The 23731-nt window shown below is 38.7% G+C and overlaps 2 protein-coding genes across 30 annotated transcripts in view, besides 2 other annotated features; one reads left to right on the forward strand and one right to left on the reverse strand.

The window, feature by feature from the left end:
• Positions 1-23731, forward strand: part of MED12L (mediator complex subunit 12L) — a 350990-nt gene that overhangs the window by 152941 nt on the left and 174318 nt on the right. The window lies entirely within an intron of this gene.
• P2RY14 (purinergic receptor P2Y14) overlaps positions 1-23731 on the reverse strand; it is a 66426-nt gene that overhangs the window by 26488 nt on the left and 16207 nt on the right. For 2 of the 6 annotated variants that reach the window (XM_005247923.4, NM_001081455.2), the window contains exon 1: positions 10261-10387. The exons of 3 other annotated variants lie outside the window; for them this stretch is intronic. The gene's annotated coding sequence lies outside the window, so the exon portion shown is untranslated. Of the gene's footprint in view, positions 1-10260; positions 10388-22782; positions 22835-23731 lie in introns of those variants that run through there. One more of the 6 variants, XM_005247922.4, reaches the window with a different exon arrangement.
• Positions 2867-3466: an enhancer, noted in NCBI's record as "NANOG-H3K27ac-H3K4me1 hESC enhancer chr3:150959259-150959858 (GRCh37/hg19 assembly coordinates)". NCBI's record gives its function as "activates a minimal SCP1, AML or CMV promoter by ChIP-STARR-seq in naive and primed H9 embryonic stem cells {active_cell/tissue: H9 hESC(naive and primed)}" and the evidence as "EXISTENCE:reporter gene assay evidence [ECO:0000049][PMID:30033119]".
• Positions 3467-4064: an enhancer, noted in NCBI's record as "NANOG-H3K27ac-H3K4me1 hESC enhancer chr3:150959859-150960456 (GRCh37/hg19 assembly coordinates)". NCBI's record gives its function as "activates a minimal SCP1, AML or CMV promoter by ChIP-STARR-seq in naive and primed H9 embryonic stem cells {active_cell/tissue: H9 hESC(naive and primed)}" and the evidence as "EXISTENCE:reporter gene assay evidence [ECO:0000049][PMID:30033119]".

Below are 23731 nucleotides of genomic sequence, written 5' to 3' on the forward strand. Positions count from 1 at the left end.
GTAAAATGTTCAGGTGTCTTAGCACAAATCAAGGCAGTGCACTCAACTGTTCATTGCATTTTATACCTTACTGACATACAATCTTAAACAAGAAAAGAAAAATCAGTTTTACCAATTGCTTAATAAAGCAATACTAGTTTTTATTAAATCTCAACCATAAAAATATCTTTTTAATATTTTGTGTGCCAAAATATTAATTATGTATAAAGTACATTTGCTACTTATGATTGTCTAGAGGAATGAACACTTGTATAATTGAGTTATAAGCTGAATTAGATGCATTTTTCATGGAACACCATTTTTACTTGATCGAATGACAAACTAATAATTGTACTTGGGTGTTTGGCAAACATTTTCTCAAAACTGAATGAACTGAGAGACAATTTTTGACAATGATAAAATTCAAGCTTTCAAACTGAAAGCAGAATTTTGGAAAGCTTCTGTCTGCTGTTGTGAGTTTCGTAGCTTTCCGGTATTGACACTGTGAGGAGGGGCAATATTAATTAGTATGATTTTTTGGTACTGTAGAATGAAAAGTGTTTATATTTACAAATTTCTGCATGAATGTATTTTATCTACATGACCAATGTATGATGTTATAAAATTGGGCATAAGTAAAACACATAGACTTAAAGGTCAAGACCAAAAGATTTCAGTGTTACAAAGTATAAAATATTCATTGACATGGTTTTAGATCCAATATTGCAATCATGCTTTAAAAAACCACCTGTTGAGTTTTGTGCTGTCAAAGAAGAAAATCCAGAAGGCCATTATTTATCTGTATGGGATTGGATTTTCTTCAACATACTTTTAACCTAAACATTTTGCAAGAGATTGGACATGGAAGTGGATATGAGAATCCAACTGTCTTCTCTAGGCCAGATGTTAAAGAGATTTGCAAAAATGTAGAATAACATGACTTGTTGACATAAATTTTTTTGAAAATATTTTTCATAAAAATGTTACTTGTGTTAACCTGCTATTTAAAAGTTTTATAACTGTCACAATTTTAATTTCTAAAATAATAAGTATGGATAGGTATACACAAAAGCTCTTTGAGGTCCTCAGTAATTTTTTAAGAGTAAAAGGGATCCTGAGACCAAAAATTTGAGAATTCTTGGCTAAAATACATTTATCTATATTTTCTGATAAGAGATTTTGTTATGGTTGTTAGTTTGCTTGTTTTAGCACTCCAGCTCTTAAGCTATTAAATATATGTATTATACTGGACTGTCTATAAATATCAAAAAAGGACACCACATTTTATGAAGAGTAATTAAATTTAAAAATATATGAAACTTCCCAAGTTCATTTTTGTAACTTGTACAGAACACATATCTTTCACTTTGTTTTCTTGAGCATTTTTAAGGTTGTTTATCTACCCACCAGATGTGTGAATCAAACAGGAAGTAATCCTGATGTCTTTCTCCCACCTTTTTTTTTTTTGTGTGTGTGTGTATGGCCACCACCTGTGGGTCTCACAGCCCCTGACCTGTAATTCCAGGCTCCATAACTGTCAGGACCATTGTTCTGGCCAGGAAGGAGTGGCCCCGTTTTTTAGAGTGTAGATTACTTAAGGTAGTAGGTAGTCAATGGGCCTGTGTCAATAGATGTTCACTACCTGTGTACTGACACGACGCCCAGTTTTTTGTGGGAATGATGGCAGGTAAATTGGGAGAGGTACTCCTTACCCTTTATTTCTGTGATTTCTTTTTTGGACCTCTGACTCTCAGATTACAGCTCAAGCAGTTTCCAGTGGGATTTTACACTTTTATCCTAATAAGTTATTAGCAGGGATGGGAAGGAAACTCCATTTTAATTGAATAGCTGCTGCGTGCCAGGTACTAGCATGTCTTGTTTAGTTTCTCAGCAGCTGTTTGGCTTTATCTGTTTTAAAATTTATTTAATAGGAAGTGGGACAGAAGAGGGTCACAGAGGTGAAAGAGCTAAAAAACAAAACAAAAGGTGTAGCTCAAGATCATGGCAGATTCAAATCTAGTTGTTTATCTTTAAGCATCTCCTTTATCTACCATGCAAGATTGCTTCTATGAAAATCTGAGTCCCAATAATATTGACTATTTTATACAGTGTGATTATTGCTGCTGTTATGTAAATATCCAGTCAAGGGACTGACCAGTTTTGTGCACTCTTGCATCTAACTTGTATTTATATATTAATCATGGTTTTTATTGGACCTGGTCATTTCCTTAGGTCAGAGACAAGGAGTGATAGGTGAAAGGGTAGTGGATTTGAAGCCAGATGACTTTATTCTTCAAGTACCATGCTTGGTCTTGATTAGCTGTGTCATCTTGCCTGAATCACTGAACCTCTCTAGAACCCTATTTGCTAATTGGTGAAACAGGGGCAAGAATAGAAGGCCTTTTCCAGTGTCTCCTGGTTGCCAAAAACATCCAGTGAGATGAGAGTATCTGTGTAAAGGCTTTAAAAACGGGGGACTATACTCATGGGAGTTTAGTACTTGTACTTGGAAGTGTTAGTTAGAAGTCTTAGATCTCACTATCACATAAAAATTATGTAAAATATCATTAGTGGTTTTCTCCTTGCCCTTTGGCATCTGGGATTGCCTTTTGAGACTATATCTCTTTAGTTGGTTGAGTGATCAAATTGTTGATATTTTACAATTTTTTACCTTCAAAAATGGCAATACCAAAGGTTATTAGTAAAATTACAAATGTTAAAATATATGTATTTGTATCAATATCAAAGAGTATGGCAAAAGGCAAGTAAGCCTAGATTTTATTGTAGTTTTCAAAACAAACTTTTACTCTTGATTTTTTTCTCCTCAGGCTATCTTGAATTCCATGTGTTGATCCCTAGCGACTTATTAAATGTTTTGTGTTGAAGAAACACTAAAGGCAGTGAAGCATCTTCCCCTATAATGGATGGGACTGATGGACTGATGTGGAGAGATGCAAATGCTAGTCTAGTCATTTTAATTATGTTAACTGGAATACATATGCACACACACTTTCACAGTGGGTTATATATATGTGTGTGTGTATATACACACACAGTAGGATATTTTATATATGTATATACACACATATATACACATACACACATACATAATTTTTTTTCATTTTTCTCTTGTGAATGCTTTCTTTGTGGAATACTGGCAAGAAAGTTGGGAGGTATAAAAATGAATTAGGGGAGGAGCCAAGATGGCCCAATAGGAACAGCTCCGGTCTACAGCTCCCAGCGTGAGCGACGCAGAAGACGGTGATTTCTGCATTTCCATCTGAGGTACCGGGTTCATCTCACTAGGGAGTGCCAGACAGTGGGCGCAGGTCAGTGGGTGCGCGAGCCGAAGCAGGGCGAGGCACTGCCTCACTTGGGAAGCACAAGGGGTCAGGGAGTTCCCTTTCCGAGTCAAAGAAAGGGGTGACGGACGGCACCTGGAAAATCGGGTCACTCCCACCCGAATACTGCGCTTTTCCGACGGGCTTAAAAAACGGGGCACCACGAGATTATATCCCGCACCTGGCTCGGAGGGTCCTACGCCCATGGAGTCTCGCTGATTGCTAGCACAGCAGTCTGAGATCAAACTGCAAGGCAGCAACACGGCTGGGGGAGGGGCGCCCGCCATTGCCCAGGCTTGATTAGGTAAACAAAGCAGCCGGGAAGCTCAAACTGGGCGGAGCCCACCACAGCTCAAGGAGGCCTGCCTGCCTCTCTAGGCTCCACCTCTGGGGGCAGGGCACAGACAAACAAAAAGACAGCAGTAACCTCTGCAGACTTAAATGTCCCTGTCTGACAGCTTTGAAGAGAGCAGTGGTTCTCCCAGCACGCAGCTGGAGATCTGAGAACCGGCAGACTGCCTCCTCAAGTGGGTCCCTGACCCCTGAGCAGCCTAACTGGGAGGCACCCCCCAGCAGGGGCACACTGACACCTCACACAGCAGGGTATTCCAACAGACCTGCAGCTGAGGGTCCTGTCTGTTACAAGGAAAACTAACAAACAGAAAACACATCCACACCAAAAACCCATCTGTACATCACCATCATCAAAGACCAAAAGTAGATAAAACCACAAAGATGGGGAAAAAACAGAACAGAAAAACTGGAAACTATAAAAAGAGAGCGCCTCTCCTCCTCCAAAGGAACGCAGTTCCTCACCAGCAGCGGAACAAAGCTGGATGGAGAATGACTTTGACGAGCTGAGAGAAGAAGGCTTCAGACGATCAAATTACTCTGAGCTACGGGAGGACATTCAAACCAAAGGCAAAGAAGTTGAAAACTTTGAAAAAAATTTAGAAGAATGTATAACTAGAATAACCAATACAGAGAAGTGCTTAAAGGAGCTGATGGAGCTGAAAACCAAGGCTCGAGAACTACGTGAAGAATGCAGAAGCCTCAGGAGCCCATGCGATCAACTGGAAGAAAGGGTATCAGCGATGGAAGATGAAATGAATGAAATGAAGCGAGAAGGGAAGTTTAGAGAAAAAAGAATAAAAAGAAATGAGCAAAGCCTCCAAGAAATATGGGGCTGTGTGAAAAGACCAAATCTATGTCTGCTTGGTGTACCTGAAAGTGATGGGGAGAATGGAACCAAGTTGGAAAACACTCTGCAGGATATTATCCAGGAGAACTTCCCCAATCTAGCAAGGCAGGCCAACGTTCAGATTCAGGAAGTACAGAGAACGCCACAAAGATACTCCTCGAGAAGAGCAACTCCAAGACACATAATTGTCAGATTCACCAAAGTTGAAATGAAGGAAAAAATGTTAAGGGCAGCCAGAGAGAAAGGTCGGGTTACCCTCAAAGGGAAGCCCATCAGACTAACAGCGGATCTCTCGGCAGAAACCCTACAAGCCAGAAGAGAGTGGGGGCCAATATTCAACATTCTTAAAGACAAGAATTTTCAACCTGGAATTTCATATCCAGCGAAACTAAGCTTCATAAGCGAAGGAGAAATAAAATACTTTACAGACAAGCAAATACTGAGAGATTTTGTCACCACCAGGCCTGCCCTAAAAGAGCTCCTGAAGGAAGCGCTAAACATGGAAAGGAACAACTGGTACCAGCCGCTGCAAAATCATGCCAAAATGTAAAGACCATCAAGACTAGGAAGAAACTGCATCAACTAACGAGCAAAATAACCAGCTAACATCATCATGACAGGATCAAATTCACACATAACAATATTAACTTTAAATGTAAATGGACTAAATGCTCCAATTAAACGACACAGACTGGCAAATTGGATAAAGAGTCAAGACCCATCAGTGTGCTGTATTCAGGAAACCCATCTCACGTGCAGAGACACACATAGGCTCAAAATAAAAGGATGGAGGAAGATCTACCAAGCAAATGGAAAACAAAAAAAGGCAGGGGTTGCAATACTAGTCTCTGATAAAACAGACTTTAAACCAACAAAGATCAAAAGAGACAAAGAAGGCCATTACATAATGGTAAAGGGATCAATTCAACAAGAAGAGCTAACTCTCCCAAATATATATGCACCCAATACAGGAGCACCAAGATTCATAAAGCAAGTCCTGAGTGACCTACAAAGAGACTTAGACTCCCACACATTAATAATGGGAGACTTTAACATCCCACTGTCAACATTAGACAGATCAACGAGACAGAAAGTCAACAAGGATACCCAGGAATTGAACTCAGCTCTGCACCAAGCGGACCTAATAGACATCTACAGAACTCTCCACCCCAAATCAACAGAATATACATTTTTTTCAGCACCACACCACACCTATTCCAAAATTGACCACATACTTGGATGTAAAGATCTCCTCAGCAAATGTAAAAGAACAGAAATTATAACAAACTATCTCTCAGACCACAGTGCAATCAAACTAGAACTCAGGATTAAGAATCTCACTCAAAACCACTCAACTACATGGAAACTGAACAACCTGCTCCTGAATGACTACTGGGTACATAACGAAATGAAGGCAGAAATAAAGATGTTCTTTGAAACCAGTGAGAACAAAGACACAACATACCAGAATCTCTGGGACGCATTCAAAGCAGTGTGTAGAGGGAAATTTATAGCACTAAATGCCCACAAGAGAAAGCAGGAAAGATCCAAAATTGACACCCTAACATCACAATTAAAAGAACTAGAAAAGCAAGAGCAAACACATTCAAAAGCTAGCAGAAGGCAAGAAATAACTAAAATCGGAGCAGAACTCAAGGAAATAGAGTCACAAAAAACCCTTCAAAAAATTAATGAATCCAGGAGCTGGTTTTTTTGAAAGGATCAACAAAATTGATAGACCGCTAGCAAGACTAATAAAGAAAAAAAGAGAGAAGAATCTAATAGACCCAATAAAAAATGATAAAGGGGATATCACCACTGATCCCACAGAAATACAAACTACCATCAGATAATACTACAAACACCTCTACGCAAATAAACTAGAAAATCTAGAAGAAATGGATAAATTCCTTGACACATACACTCTCCCAAGACTAAACCAGGAAGAAGTTGAATCTCTGAATAGACCAATAACAGCATCTGAAATTGTGGCAATAACCAATAGCTTAGCAACCAAAAAGAGTCCAGGACCAGATGGATTCACAGCTGAATTCTACCAGAGGTATAAGGAGGAACTGGTACCATTCCTTCTGAAACTACTCCAATCAATAGAAAAAGAGGGAATCCTCCCTAACTCATTTTATGAGGCCAGCATCATTCTGATACCAAAGCTGGGCAGAGACACAACCAACAAAGAGAATTTTAGACCAATATCCTTGATGAACATTGATGCAAAAATCCTCAATAAAATACTGGCAAACTGAATCCAGCAGCACATCAAAAAGCTTATCCACCATGATCAAGTGGGCTTCATCCCTGGGATGCAAGGCTGGTTCAATATACACAAATCAATAAATGTAATCCAGCATATAAACAGAGCCAAAGACAAAAACCACATGATTATCTCAATAGATGCAGAAAAGGCCTTTGACAAAATTCAACAACCCTTCATGCTGAAAACTCTCAATAAATTAGGTATTGATGGGATGTATTTCAAAATAATAAGAGCTATCTATGACAAACCCACAGCCAATATCATACTGAATGGGCAAAAACTGGAAGCATTCCCTTTGAAAACTGGCACAAGACAGGGATGCCCTCTCTCACCACTCCTATTCAACATAGTGTTGGAAGTTCTGGCCAGGGCAATTAGGCAGGAGAAGGAAATAAAGGGTATTCAATTAGGAAAAGAGGAAGTCAAATTGTCCCTGTTTGCAGACGACATGATTGTATATCTAGAAAACCCCATCGTTTCAGCCCAAAATCTCCTTAAGCTGATAAGCAACTTCAGCAAAGTCTCAGGATACAAAATCAATGTACAAAAATCACAAGCATTCTTATACACCAGCAACAGACAAACAGAGAGCCAAATCATGAGTGAACTCCCATTCACAATTGCTTCAAAGAGAATAAAATACCTAGGAATCCAACTTACAAGGGATGTGAAGGAACTCTTCAAGGAGAACTACAAACCACTGCTCAAGGAAATAAAAGAGGATACAAACAAATGGAAGAACATTCCATGCTCATGGGTAGGAAGAATAAATATCGTGAAAATGGCCATACTGCTCAAGGTAATTTATAGATTCAATGCCATCCCCATCAAGCTACCAATGCCTTTCTTCACAGAATTGGAAAAAACTACTTTAAAGTTCATATGGAACCAAAAAAGAGCCCGTATCGCCAAGTCAATCCTAAGCCAAAAGAACAAAGCTGGAGGCATCACGCTACCTGACTTCAAACTATACTACAAGGCTACAGTAACCAAAACAGCATGGTACTGGTACCAAAACAGAGATATAGATCAATGGAACAGAACAGAGCCCTCAGAAATAACGCCGCATATCTACAACTCTCTGATCTTTGACAAACCTGAGAAAAACAAGCAATGGGGAAAGGATTCCCTATTTAATAAATGGTGCTGGGAAAACTGGCTAGCCATATGTAGAAAGCTGAAACTGGATCCCTTTCTTACACCTTATACAAAAATCAATTCAAGATGGATTAAAGACTTAAACGTTAGACCTACAACCATAAAAACCCTAGAAGAAAACCTAGGCATTACCATTCAGGACATAGGCATGGGAAGGACTTCATGTCTAAAACACCAAAAGCAATGGCCACAAAAGCCAAAATTGACAAATGGGATCTAATTAAACTAAAGAGCTTCTGCACAGCAAAAGATACTACCATCAGAGTGAACAGGCAGCCTACAAAATGGGAGAAACTTTTCGCAACCTACTCATCTGACAAAGGGTAATGTCCAGAATCTACAATGAACTGAAACAAATTTACAAGAAAAAAACAAACAACCCCATCAAAAAGTGGGCAAAGGACACGAACAGACACTTCTCAAAAGAAGACATTTATGCAGCCAAAAAACACATGAAAAAATCCTCACTGGCATCAGAGAAATGCAAACCAAAACCACAAGAAGATACCATCTCACACCAGTTAGATTGGCAATAATTAAAAAGTCAGGAAACAACAGGTGCTGGAGAGGATGTGGAGAAATAGGAACACTTTTACACTGTTGGTGGGACTGTAAACTAGTTCAACCATTGTGGAAGTCAGTGTGGCGATTCCTCAGGGATCTAGAACTGGAAATACCATTTGACCCAGCCATCCCATTACTGGGTATATACCCAAAGGATTATAAATCATGCTGCTATAAAGACACATGCACACGTATGTTTATTGTGGCATTATTCACAATAGCAAAGACTTGGAACCAAGCCAAATGTCCAACAATGATAGACTGGATTAAGAAAATGTGGCACATGTACACCATGGAATACTATGCAGCCATAAAAATGATGAGTTCATGTCCTTTGTAGGGACATGGATGAAATTGGAAATCATCATTCTCAGTAAACTATCGCAAGAACAAAAAACCAAACACTGCATATTCTCACTCATAGGTGGGAATTGAACAATGAGATCACATGGACACAGGAAGGGGAATATCACACTCCGGGGACTGTTGTGGGGTCGGGGAGGGGGGAGGGATAGCATTGGGAGATGTACCTAATGCTAGATGACGAGTTAGTGGGTGCAGTGCACCAGCATGGCACATGTATACATATGTAACTAACCTGCACAATGTGCACATGTACCCTAAAACTTAATGTATAATAAAAAAAAAAAGCAAAAAAAAAATGAATTAGGACTTAAGAAGTTGCATTTTCTCCATTTAGAGAGTCATTTGTTGACAAGAGTCACAGTTTTTAAAAAAGCTCTGCCTTCCCTTAGTTGCAGTGTTCTTATAATGTATTCAGAAGACAGGGCTCCTTTTAAAAAGATTTTCTTTTGTTTACTTTCTTTCTTCTTCTTCTTCTTTTTTTTTTTTTTTTTTTTTTTGCCTGAGAAATAATCTGGAGTAGATTCTAAGCATGTATATTAAGTTTCTAAATTATCTATTAGTCTAGATTTTTGGAAATTACTACATAATTTATAGAAAAACTACACAATAATATTCCTTGTCCTTGCCATCCACAAGTTAAAACAAAAAATGCTATGAATGTTTGTTATTTAAATGTTTAACGCTCAGAGGAAGCAATCAGAAGAACCAAGGAAAGGAAAATTAAAACCTAAGACACTAATAAAAAATAAAACAGCAACTATGAGACCTATTTAATTCCTATTTCTTTCCTTTGAAAATAAATTGTGACTCACCATTAAATCCATACCAGTGACCCATGCATTTAATATTTTAGAGAAGACATCACAGCTGCCTTGCATGAAGTATTTCACCTTTGGTTTCATTATTTGTAGAGTTTTAGCATTTTGTGCTTTTAAACCAAACTGTCTGGTTTTTGTTTTCTTTCTTCAGTATATTCGTTCTTTATTGGACTGTCTTTGCCCTGAGATTATATATATCATAACCCAGCTGTACTGGTCCACTTTATCATACCAAATACTAATTTTGTCACTACCCACATACCCATCCGACTGTCTGGATAATAAGTATTTTTAAAATAGGAATTTCCTAATGCCTAATGTACAAGCCCCATGAAAGGAAATCATGCCTTATCAAATTAAAAAAGGATACTTACAAGGAAAATTTAACTAGACTTGGTTTATTACTTGAATTTGGAAAAGTCTTGCATAGCCTATAACTCTGTGACTCCATCCATTAAAAAAAAATTTAGGATGTCAGCACCACACAAAGCCATTTTACATTGTAATCACAAATATTATTTAACTGTACTCTGCATTAGATGGAATTTTCTTACTTACCAATTTTTCCAGTCTTTTAGGTTCTCTGTAGGCAAGATAGGATCAGCAACTGAGTGTAGCATTTGATGTTGAGGGAAATAGATTTTGCTCTCTGCTGGACTGCTCGTGTTGACCAGTGGGAAACACTGCATTAGCTTTCAAATCAAAACATTTAAAGTGCTCTCTGAAATATTGACATCTCGCCAAATGCTTGAATGTCAGGTACTACAGATGTCCAGTATTCTTTGGAGCCCAGCTCTAATATATGCTTGCATAAGTTGGACCTGATTTGGATTTGCTTAGGGTTACAGATTAGCACGGCTTGACCAAATAGTAAATAGTATGAAACCAGCTGTGAAAAGGGAGACTGAGCAAGTGAGAGCTCCAGCCAGCAGGAAGATAGATCTTTCCCATGCTTGTTTATGACCTTTTCCTGTGAAGCTGTTGTAATAATAGCTTCTGTATTTATTGGGAAGTATTTTTAAGTTGTAATTCACATGGTTTCAAACTAATTCCTTGAAATTAGTTGGAAAACCAAAAAATATTTGAGAGTAAAACATCTGCACGTTTCCTTCTTTCAGTACCAGGGGAGGAGGCAGGAAAGCTGTTTAAGTAGGTGTTAACTTGGGGGTCTTGATTGGTGCAGGGCAAGATAACTGTCAAATGAGAAGAGATATTGAAAGGACCCCAAGACTATGCTATCTCCTCTGGGACTTGGGGGATTTGCTCCTCTAGACTTATCCTGGTCTAGGGATGGACTTGATGCATGCCAGTACCTCTTCTACTCCATCTGTTATCCTGACACATTTCCAGCCTTGAATGGGGGCTTTTGGGTCTCCAATCATTCTTCGTATTACTCCTTGACTTAAATCTGGTTTCACAACATTCTGTTTCTGTCCTGGGTTGTTACTTGATCCCAATGCCTGGATATTTCCTTCTTTAACAAGTTCTTCCTGGGGATTTCTGAAATTATGCTCTGGATTAATACAGTCATAATACATCTTTCAGAAGGAAAGGCCTGAGTCTCCTATACTCCGTCTACTTGAATTCATCCAGTTTAGGGCCTATAGCATCAACTTTTCCCATTTTACCAGTTTCTTTCCTTCTGTCCTAGAGAGGCATGCTCACGATCAATCATGCCTGTTATCATTATCAAATAAAATAAAGCGAAAACCCTCAAAGCTCTCCCTTAAATGTGAATCCTCTTTATTAGCAATCATCCAGTCGGTACCTTTATCTCCTTATCCAAACTTGTTGGAAATGGTCTGCGTTTGCTGTCTCCACTTTCCCATTCACTCTGTAATCTAGTCCACTCTGCCTTCTGTCCTCAGCACTTATCTAGAACTGCCAAAGACCTCCTCATTGCACATTCCTCAATCCAATTGACATTTTGAAAGATTTTTTTTGTCTTTGAGGTAGCTTTTTTGGGATTGTGGTGAAATACACATAACATTTGCCACCTTAACTATTTTTAAGTGTTCAGTGACGTTAATTACATTCACATTGTTGTGTAACCATCATCACCATGCATCTCTAGAACTGTTTTCATCTTGCAAAACTAAAATTCTGTACCCATTAAATAATAATTCTCCATTTATCCTTGCCCCTAGTCCCTGGTAACTACTGTTCTTCTCTACGAAGTTGAATACTCTAGCTATCTCATAGAAGTGGAATCATACAGTATTTGTCCTTTTTTGACTGGCTTAATTCACTTAGCATAATGTCTTTAAGGTTCATGCATTTTGTAGCATGTGACAATTCATTTCTTTTTAAGACTGAATAATATTCCGCTCTATGTATATACCACATTTTGTTTATTCATCTGTCCATAGTCCTTGGGTAGCATCCACCTTTTGGCTATTGTGAACAATGCTGCTATGAAAGTGGGTATACAAATATCTGCTTAAGACCCTACTTTCAGTTCTTTTGGTTATGTGCCCAGAAGCAAAATTGCTGGATCATGTGGTAATCCTATGTTAATTTTCTAAAGGAATTGCTGTTTTCCATAGAGGCTGAATGAACCATCTTACGTTCCCACCAACAGTGCACAAAGGTGTCACTTTCCCCACATCCTTGCTAACACTTGTTTTCCATTTGTGTGTTGTGTTTGTTCTTTCTTTCTAGTAGTAGCCATCTTAATGGGTATGAGGCATTAAGGCAGCTTTTGATGATGATTCTCTCTGTGGTACTTTGGCATACTGCCCTTGTACCTTTCTGACACTGTTCCCTCCATGATTAAGGGCTTGCCCTCAAATGTTGATGTTTTATGGATTCCATCCTGAGCCCCATGCTTTTGCCTTTCTCTGCCCTTGCCCTGCCCTGTTAGCACTTGTGACATCTCTGCCAGCATCTCTCACCACCTTGCACCTCTGTACACTGTTGTTCCTTGCACCTTTCTACCCAGATGCTTCTTGGGTTCTTCCTACTCAATGTGTCTCTCTCAATTTGTGATAATACCATCTACCCATTACCCAAGCTGTCAACAATTAAACACTCTGTCTCATCCATTCCTAGCCAGTCAATCTCCAAAGCCTGGTGATTTTTTTTTTTATGCTTAAATATTTCTTGACTGTTATTCCCACCAAACCTCAGGTCATTTTTTGTCTGTGTTCCCTGCCTTCAATCTGCCTCCCACCCACAGGGTGTGTCCTCCACTCACCCGTGAGAGGAATCCCTCTAAAATACAAGCAGCACTGTGTCCCTTTTGTGGGTCTCTAATACTTAAAAGATAAGTTCATGGTGTTTAATTCAGTAGAGTGCTCTGTGATTTGACACCTCTTCTTCCACCACTATTTGCCTTGGTCTGTATATCACAGCAACACTCAATTGTTTGAACTCTCTGTGAATATCTGTGGTTCTTGCCCCATTGCTTGGGCTTAAGATCTTTCCTCTGCCTAGAACAGCTCTCTGGAATAATTTCTCTTCTTTCACCTGGCTTATTCTGAATTTGAATTGCATTTTAAAAAATTTCAGCTATTTGTGTACTTGCTTCTCAGTCTTTATTATATCCACATGCCACCTGATCTGTTTATATCTGATATTTATGTACATGGAATCACCTTAAAAATTAAATGTTTACCCTCATCCTAAGTAAAAATAGCTTTGAAGTCACAGATTTTGATTCTTTTAACATACCTTGAAATTATTACATAACTGTGTAATTTGTCTGAGTTCTATTTAACCTGTGTGTTTATCCCTGTGGAAACATACTACTTTCAGATGCAGTTGGCCCACCCTTTCCTATGGGAGGTTATTCCTGGACCACCCATCCCCTCCCTCCCTATGCAGGATAAACTCACCTTCCTGTGTTACCAAAAAGTACTATTAATATCTCCATTCATTCATCTTTCTATCCATCTGTTTATCCAGTCACCCAACTAATAATTTATTAGTAACCTTCTGTATTAAATACTGTGGGAGGTACAACCAGGAGTAGTGCTTAACTTGTTTATACCTTGTGTTCCATTATTGGGACACTAAGCTCATGGGAGTTATTCATATCCTATTGCTCATGGTCATCGCTAAGATCTGATTTTTCATAGAAAATAATTGCAACTTCTGGCATAAATACTGATTTTTAATTGTCTGCCAGTTGTTTCTCCCAACTAGATTGGGTGAGCTGTTGAGAGCCAGGGCAGTGTCTTAATTTTGCATCTTTGGCACCTGACATTTTTATTCATTTAATTAAAGGAATATAAAAGTAAAGATGTGTTGCTTCCTTAATTTTCTCTTTCAAGTTTTACTTATACTTGTGTTTCGTAAATGATACTTCTAAACATGTTCATAAAGGCCAGAGTGAAAGTAAAAAAGTAAAAGTTAATATGTTCATTTTTATTTTTGAAGGCTTATGATGCATGCAAATAGACTGTCTTTTGTACATATTCAGTTTGCTATGCAGGAGTAGGTTTGTTCATATGTAATCTACTAACTTATCTACTAACTAGATAAGTTCTAGAACTTATCTAGAAAACCTTGAGTAAAATGTGTGTATTTTAACCAAAACTGGTATTTGGGGTTGTGTGGATCAAACCTAGTCCAATTTTATTGATTTAAAGCAATGACTGTAGTGTTAAAAGGAGCATGTACTACATTAAAATGACATAGGGAATGTGTATACATTTAGGAGAATATTTATTTTAAGGGAACTTGCCCTTAAAATAAATATTACATGTCGTGAGCTAAAGGGAGAAATTATGTTGCCTTAAACTAAAGTCCCTGTCTTTTGAGTTCAACACTCTTGGGAAATTGTAAGGAAAATGTATTAACAGAATCCACTAGCATGCAGCTAAGGACTTCTGGAGATCTGGGGTCATGACAGGCACCCTGTATAGTGATATAAATGTCAGTGTCTGAGATTTAAGAGCCTGTTCCGAGAAAAGCCAACAAATATGGAGAGTATATTCCTATAAATGAGTTAATTGAGAGGCACGTATACTGCACTCAAGTTTTGCACTGTGCCGGAAACCATTGACTGTCCCAGGGGCCTTCCGCTCTTACCCCTCACTCCAGTTTAGAGTGGAGCAACAGCAGCATAAGATACACATTTTAATATGGCTTAGATCATGTTCATTTCCAAACACACCTTCTGTTCTCCCTCCTCTGGCCTTTGTTGGGCCGTTTCCTAAGCCTGGCATGGGCCCTCTTAAATTTCAACTTTAGTGGAGCTTTCCTTTATGTTCTTACTGAGAATGAATGGTTTTCCTCTCTCTGAATTCCTATAGTGCTTAATTTAATTCTACTTAGGCCACCCCTCAGGCTTTGTACTGTATCACAGATGGTGATGGCTGTGTCTTCTGATTTTTTCTTTTTTTGTGAGGGGGTGGGTGGGTATTTTGCTGATGTTGCCCCAGTCTCATTCATGGAGTCATTTGGCTTGTCTGGGGAATGGGGTGGGGCAGGTGACTTTTTTGCAGCCTCTCTCATCCATATTGCCAGGCTGTCCAGGATTACTTTCTGGGCTTGAAACATTGTCCTTTTGCTGAGAGCAATCCATGGACACCTGACTCCTAAGACTTAGCTCCACTGAAAAAGGTCTTTCATATCCAAGAAGGTGATTTAATTTAATCAGTGAGGACCTCCACTACTTTTTTTTTCTTCTTCTAGTCCAAGGAATGGATACATTTGATATACCTTCTTTTTGTTTTGATTTTTTCTTGTTTTTTTTTTTTGTTAATTTAAACTTTTAAGATTTATCAAAGTTATGCATTTGTGTACTTTAAGAAACAATTTAAAAAAACATATAATGAAAAAAATAGAAGTCCATACCCTTTTCTTATGCCCTGGTAGCCACCTCTTTTTCCTTTTATCTATTTTTAGGTATTAGTGCCTGTATTTCTTATGTAACTGGAGGTTCTTGGCTTTTGATAGTGTCTGTTGACTTCCTTGTGTGGAAGATGAGGATTTAGCTCACTGTGCACGTTTCCCTTTACCAGATAATTATGTCCACAATTTTTGGATAAATCAGCATCTTTCATTCACGTAACTAGAGCTATATGAGTATTATTTATAGCAGAGGCTTAACATTTACGTTTGAAGGATTGCAACTCCCTAATTTCATCTAGTGACCAGGGGAAACCTTGCTGTCTTGGTCTAATGAGGGCAGGCTTCCCTCTGGGTTCTGCCTGCCCATTTGCCCATTTTCCCATTTATAATTAGTTGAGATATGTAAACATGCTATATAAATGTTAGCTGTTATTATTTCAATATTATAATTTGAACCAAACCTTATTTAATCTAGTTCTTAGCTATACGTGTATGTGTAAGCTTAAAAGTACTTTTGTGAACAGCTGCATTTAGAGAGAAATGTGAAGTCCAAGTGCATGTTTATGCATATGATAAAACTTTCGCAGCATAGATGCTTCTTAGCATTACAACTCAACAGGCAGAGGAGATTCGTGTTGACAAATGTGCTTGTTATTAATAACTTTGTGTTACATTTCACCGGAGAGACCTCTAGCTTACCAGTTTTAGGCCTTTTGCTTTTGGCAGGTTGCAATTATTGCTGTCTTATAAATGTCACATACATGATATATATACACACTTCCAAAACTGTGTTTTTCATTCTTGTCGGAATAGTTGAGACTTGTCTGCTACCAAAAGTCTGAGTCAGATTCTGATACTTTGCCTTGCTGCTCTTTTTTTTGTAGTTTTCCCAGAAACTTTATATTATACTTAACAATATAAATATAGTATTATACTCATAATAAGCGAGGCCTTTGCTTGTATTCATTTAAAAATGTAGAGAAGCGCTTAAAAGATAGGAACTTTCGAGTCACAAATAGGCAGGCTGAAGATTGACTTATGGAATTGATGAAGCTGTTGGGAGACCAATTTCATGTAAGAAGGAGCAATCTGAGGATAGAACTATCAGCCATATAACAGGGGATGTGAGAGGGATACAGTGACTTCCATTTGTTTGTAAAAATGCTGTTTTGGGATTTATACTAATGGGTACCCTTCATGTGTGACATGCAGTGTGACTTAAATATCTACCTTAGCTTTTGCCATAGTTCAAAAGTTGGGGGAGGGAGTTTCTAGATAATGAGCATCCAGTAGAGTAGACGGAAAGTCCACGGCAGTTAAATTGCTCAGCAGAAAAGGCCAGGGGGAGGGGGCTGGGGGTGCGGGCAGGCGGTTTGGGTATAAATGCCCACCAACTTTGGTTCTGCCATGGCTGGGGAGGAGGGTCTGTGCTGCTATGGGCCTTTTCAGACATCTCTAACTGAACACACGCGATTTTTCCTGCAGCTTCCCTTCTATAGTGGAGCTTAGAAAGTCTTGTCAAAACTGGCCCCTGAGATGAAACCTTTGGCCATCTTAAGCTAGTGTTTTATCCAGGACAAATGAAGAAAAAATACAGCGAACTTGTTTACTCCAGCATAGAGACAAAGTCAGGATTAGATTAATTGTGATTCTTTGCAGTTAATGCTACATAACGTGGCATATGGAGTTAAATTTGGATATACAAGCCAGCAGCACTGCCTTGTATAAACCAGGAGACCTCAGGCTGGTAATGTAATCTCTCTCAATCTGTTTCCCCATCTGCAAAAAGAGTCTAGTACTACCTGCACTATTAAAGTTGTTGGAAAGTTTAAATCACGTAAGGTGTATTTTCTTACTATAATGCCTAGCTCTAAGGTCAGTAAATGGTAGGGTCTCTTTTTACTATGACAGGCTAATTGTTCCTTTACAATGCTTTCAAAACTGCATGGTTCAACATATGCTAGATAGAAATACAGTGCTATGCTTTGTGTTTTTAATGAATATTAATTGTTATGGAAAGAGCCAAATTTGAGTAGGTCTTTGACCCAGCCACTGTGGTTATAGGAAGGCTCTTTTAGATACATAGCAATACATAACTCATGGAAAGTATTTTCAAATTATAAATCTAATACAAGAGGAAATAAGATCTCATATGCAGTACCCTGGTAAACTCAAACTATTACGGATGGGGCACACATGATGGAGTGCTTCTCGGAGCTTTACATTTTTGCCTCAACATGCCTAAGGTAATAGGAGATATTCTCATCTGTGCTTTACTCTGTGGTCTCAGTAAGGAAGGGATGGAGACACATCCAGGATCAACCAGAGCTGGTGGTCTTTCCCTTGGTCCCCATTGCCAGTCCCACCCTGTCTCCACAGGGAGTGTGAATGAGGATGGCTCCATCTTTCTTCCCTCTTGTCAACCACAGAAATTAGGGTTTTGCTATTTTTTTCCTAATGTAGGCAAAACATGTGGTCCTAAAGTACCTCTCCATTGCCAGAAATCACAACAGACTGCTGTCCTACAGGAAAGACAAAAGCTTATTACACTAAAGATGAGTTTCTCGTATTTTAAGATCTAAGAGATGCTAAATAATAGTAAAGGCAGGAAACATTTATTTTTCTTAGGTAAGGAGAACAAAAACTCATACAAGCAGAGCATTTTGTTAATACTTTGTTAGTTCAGCTGACTGGTTATTAATCCAGTCTGTTTTTTTTTTTTTCTTGGTGGGAAATGACAGAGGTTTTTTTTTTGTTGTTTTTTTTTTTAAATGGGTCATGGGGAAAATAGTGTTTGAATTTGCTAAATAATCTCTTGCCATTTGCCAAATCAAATATCACTTATCAAGTCCACATATGAAGTATGTATGATTTGCCAGGAGTTAGGATACTTAACCCTGTATTAGAAGCACATGGATTTGAAAACAACAGAAAAGCAGCACGATACAGCTGCTTCTGAGATACAAGAAATGGTGTAGTTTTAAAAAGAAATGCTTATGAGAGATTTTAGACATTTTTGAGCTGTTAAGTTTTCTAGAACCATTTGGAATGATTTTGAAGTGACCTCGCCTGGAAAGCATATTTATGTAGTTTCTTTCTCTGTACCACTTATTCTTCAGCTTCAGTGTAATTCTCAGTTTACTGTATGCCAGTTGGCATGTTGTAGTTTAAATATTTTCAGAACCTTTCCACTGCGTATTAATCTCTTAGACAGTTGAAACATTTGTTGACCTGTAGTCCTGTTTTTTTAAATTGTTTATGTGAGAAACAATATATCTGAATGATTAAGAGCATTGTCTCCAGAATAGATTGCCTTAGTTAGAATACCGGCTGAGTTACACATTAGCTTTGTGTCATGGGGCACATTACTTAACCTCTCTGTGCTTCAGCACCCTCATCGTTAGGAGAATCTGTACAAAAGTGATTATAATATCTACTTCAGAATACTGTTGTGAGGAATATTGTTCTGTATGCCTGGCACATAGAAGAGAAAAATAAATATTGTCTGTCATCAGTATTATTTCGTATATGGAGAACTGAAAGGAGCTTCAAGATTTGCATTGTGTGGGCTTTCATACCATCTTCAAGAGATGATTTTTTGGAGAAAACATGCTTTTGAAATTCAGTGTAAACATGGTATTTATGGAGCTATATCTCACAACAATTTTCCTCTGGCTTACATTTTAGACCACCTTTTGTTCAAGTGTCATGTGGACCACTTGGCTTAGATGAGAGTCACACAAATTTTTATATTCCAAGTTCCTCCTTCTCTCTCCCTACTACAGCCTTTGAATGGCAATTAATATTGCTGCTTCCTTCCCCACCTTCCCTCTCTAGCTTCTTTTAGGCATTTTGTAAATAGATAACATAAGAAACAATTTGTTTTGGCCACAAGTTCAATTTTTCTGGCATAAAGCTGTATTTATTTTTGATATTCCTGATTAGTAAAGGTGCAAGCCCAGTATCTATACCATTCCAATCTGTGGGTCCCTGAGTTGCTCCAAGGCATTTACAGGCAAACTCCTGGGATTCATTTTCTTCCACAGGCCCAAAGTGGGAGTTCCGATATGGTATGAGACCACTGTGAGATGGATTAGAAAGATCTGGAAGCTAGATGGGAACTAGCTCGGGCATAATCAAGTACTCTTGACCCTCACAATTGTTGCTTTCTAATATAATTTCACTAGTTCTTCCCACTTTCTTTAATTCTGTTTGTTGTCTTGTTGCTGACAAAATAATTTTTAGTACTTTCTAATGTGGTCATTGTGTATAAACCAGGTGAAGAAAATTTTCTGTTATTTTCTTGAAGAATAAAATAAAAAGACTGATTCATGAAATGCTATCTGAGGCTGGCCCTGGGTTAAATTCCAGGGTATCCCTTGCAACAGAACAATGAGAATTTTCACATTCTTAGCTGTTTTTTTGAATGACTGCTAAATCTCTAGGGCTGTGGTGCATCCTGAGGAACTTGAGGATTTTCCTTTTCTACCTTTGTTCACTTTAGATCTAGCCTCAACAAATAAACATCCTTGGGCTTTTTAAGAGTCCAGCCTGATCAACATGGTGAAACCCCGTCTCTACTAAAAATACAAAAAAATTAGCCAGGTGTGGTGGTGCATGCCTGTAGTCCCAGCTGCTTGGGAGGCTGAGGCAGGAGAATCGCTTGAACTTGGGAGGTGGAGGTTGCAGTGAGCTGAGATCGTGCCACTGCACTCCAGCCTGGGCGACAGAGCAAGATTCTGTCTCAAAAAAAAAAAAAAAAAAAAAAGTCCTTCCCTACTCTAAGGTAGAGGAGGCTTTGTGGATGGGAGCTGTGGATTCAGGTTGTGTGTGCTGTTAGCCTCTGCAGGCTTCGCCTTTGCCACCTGTGAAATGGTGCTGATAAGTGGTGCTGCACACACATATGTAATATGTATGTATTTACTATTAGCAATAAATCAAATTTAATTTTTAAACGCATTTGGGAAATGACATACTTTAAATATACTGGAATAAGGAGAACCTTTTTTAACACATGGACTGAAAGGTTCACCTAAGGTGGTGCCTCTGCATATTTCAACTCTTTGTGTTTGATTAGTTATCCTGCTGTAGGATTACGGCCACACAACTCTCTGAGAACAATGGTTTCTGTGAGGTGCTATCAACCTCTGGCTTTCCTTCAGAAATAGGCACTCCTTTTGAACTATGCTATATTTTTCTTAAAGCCTTTAAGATTTAAGGAGGAATTTTCTGATCTGAGGTACAGAACCCCAGGAAATACTTTCAGTGAGATTTTATTCACCAAATGCTTAACCAGTACTGATTTGGATAGGGTGGTCTTCTAACTTATTAGTCAACCTGGACACTTTTGAGAATGAAAAGAGGACTTAATTACATGGGGACAGCAGGAGTGAACTGGGTCTGTCTCAGGCAAACTGGGGTATGTGTTCACCCTAAGAATAAGTAGACACTGGATAATCAGAATAAACTTTTCAAATACTAAAAATTTTTTGCAAGCTCAGGTCTTCATAAACATCTGAAAATGAGCCTCAAGATAGGTAGGTTTTACTTTGTCCCTCTTTGCAGTGAATGCTACTATGTGCAAATTTATTGAGCTTCTACTGTGTATAAATACTCTGTGTTAATCTTTCAGAGAATTCTTCCACTTAAACGAGCTCATAGCATTTCCAAACAAAAGTTTAGAGTCCTGGTTTATAGTTCTTGCCCCAGTGCATTCTTTTTTCACTCTGTTTATTCTATTTTAAAGCTGATTCCTTCATGACGTCTCTGACTGTGTTAGTTCATCCTGTTCTGTCCTTTCTGTAATCCTTGTATTTTAATTCTAAGTTTGGAAACCAATCCCCTTTTGGTATGTGGTAAATATTTTCTTCATGTGATACATAAAAGATTGGTAGGCATTGTGAAGTGGGGAGCTCGGGTTATTTTGTATTTTGTTTTTGTCAACCACAGCATTCAGCTCACTGCTGGGGATATGGTGATGGGTGGGACTGGGGACACCATTGGTGGGCTTAGGGTAGCAGATCATGAGTGTGTTTCAGTTGTGGAAAGAATGAGGGCTAGTAAACTTAATGGACACGGTGTTTAAAAATAAAGAAAAGAGCCGCAACGTCACCTTATCTAGCCTAATTAAATTGTATGGACTTTCTGTTAAGAGTTGATACAGCCAAAATGCATTATGAACTTATGTTAACCTCTCATTTCCTTCTTAATCTAGGTCTACTAATATCTTTTAAAAGCCAGTTTTTGTTGTTGTTTGTTTTTTGAGACAGGGTCTTGCTCTGTTGTCCAGGCTGGAGTGAGGTGGCATGATAGTGGATCACTGCAGCCTTAAACTCCTGGGTTTAAGCAGTCCTCCCATATTAGCCTCCCAAGTAGCTGGGACTGCAGGCGTGTACCACTGTGTCCAGCTAATTTTTATATTTTTCATAGAGATAGGGGTCTCACAATGTTGCCGTGGTCGGTCTCGAACTTCTGAACTCAAGTGATCCTCCTGCCACAGTCTACCAACATGCTGGAATTACAGACCTGAACCACTGCACCTGGCCCTAAAGCTGGTTTTTAATGACATTTTACATAAGTACAGCTCAATGCTGACCGGCTTTGTTTCCCAGTGATCACTTTTCTGAGGTTTGTAGGTATTTGGACCTAGTCTTTAAAAGGTAAATAACTGTATTCTTGTAAATAACTGTAATCTTTTTTTTTCTCTTCAGAATACTGTTCCTGCCTTAGTTGTATTCAGACTAAATTATACTCAAAGCTGAGACGTTTCCAGTAAAGTCAACATTTATCTTTATCTTGACGGCGTCACATCCATTTTTCTGGCCTTCCAGTTTCCATCTCCCCAGACTGATTTCCTTGATGGTGTGGATGTGTATGGTGTCTTTGGTTCTGTGTGTTGCAGGGCAAGCATGGCCTGAGGATCCCTGTGTGTTTAACAATGGAATGTCATCGGCTTTTGTTTTTTTGGAGGGGAAGCATCTTGATTTTCAGGGCCATGTTTATTTATGCATTTAATTCTGAAATAAGAGGGGGTGCAATTTTATAAACTAAATTATACTGTTCCCCATTCTCTTTTGGAAATGCCCATGAATGAGACAGATTAGAGAGGTATTTTGCATGAACGAATGATGGAGAGACCAAAAAAAAACCCCAAAAGGCAGAGGTGGAGATACATTCACAGCCACAGTTTTATCCTAATATCAAAGCTGGTTTCTAATCTAATAGGATATAAGGAATATGATAATATTTGCAGGATTGAACTGATAGTCAAGTGTAGCCTACCTGGAATTGTGGAGGGTAAGAGGGATGGTGGCCATGGCTTGCTAGGTAATTCCTGGGTAAGTAATGGAGAAACAGCCATTAGTTTTCATACATTACTTCCGTTAGAGAGGTTGGTTGCTTATCTTCAGAATAAAGTAAAAATGCCCACATAACTCCTTAAGCTGGTGGTTCTCAAAGTGTGGTTCCTGGGCCTGGATCAGCATGACCTGAGAACTTGCTGGAAATGCAAGTTACCCAAGACTCCCAGACACCTCCATTCCTGAAACTCAGCCTCTGGGGAGGGGTCCAGTGGTACGTGGTGTTTTGTTTTGTTTTGTTTTGTTTTGTTTTGTTTTGTTTTTGTTGTGTTGTGTTTTGAGACAGAGTCTTGCTGTGTCATCCAGGCCACAGTGCAGTGGTATGATCTTGGCGCACTATAACCTCCACCTCCTGGGTTCAATACATTCTTGTGCCTCAGCCTCCCGAGTAGCTGGGACTACAGGCGTTCGTCACCATGCCTGGCTAATTTTTTTGTATTTTTAGTAGAGACGGGGTTTCACCACGTTGGCCAGGCTGGTCTTGAACTCCTGACCTCAAGTGATTGACCCGCCTCGGCCTCCCAGTGTGCTAAGATTACAGGTATGTGCCACTGCACTCAGCTGAAGGGGTAGATGTTTTAACAAACATGTTAAAGTTTGAGAATCACTGTTAAAACTACTATTTTTTAATAGCTTTGGGTTATGAATACCTTTCAGAATTTATTGAAAGTTAGATAGCTAGAAAAATGTACAGACACATTTTATACACTAGCAGGGAATTCATGAACTCTCCTGATTAAGTCCCCTGTTATAAAGGAAACATTTTGGTTTCAGGATGTATCCCATCAGAAGTATTAGATTTTAAGTCACACTAGTGATAGTTTGGATTTGAGAATTTGATTATTGTTCATCTCCAGTAGCATGAGTAGCCC

This window comes from Homo sapiens, chromosome 3, assembly GCF_000001405.40.
Source record: "Homo sapiens chromosome 3, GRCh38.p14 Primary Assembly".
Classification (NCBI taxonomy): Eukaryota; Metazoa; Chordata; class Mammalia; order Primates; family Hominidae; genus Homo; species Homo sapiens.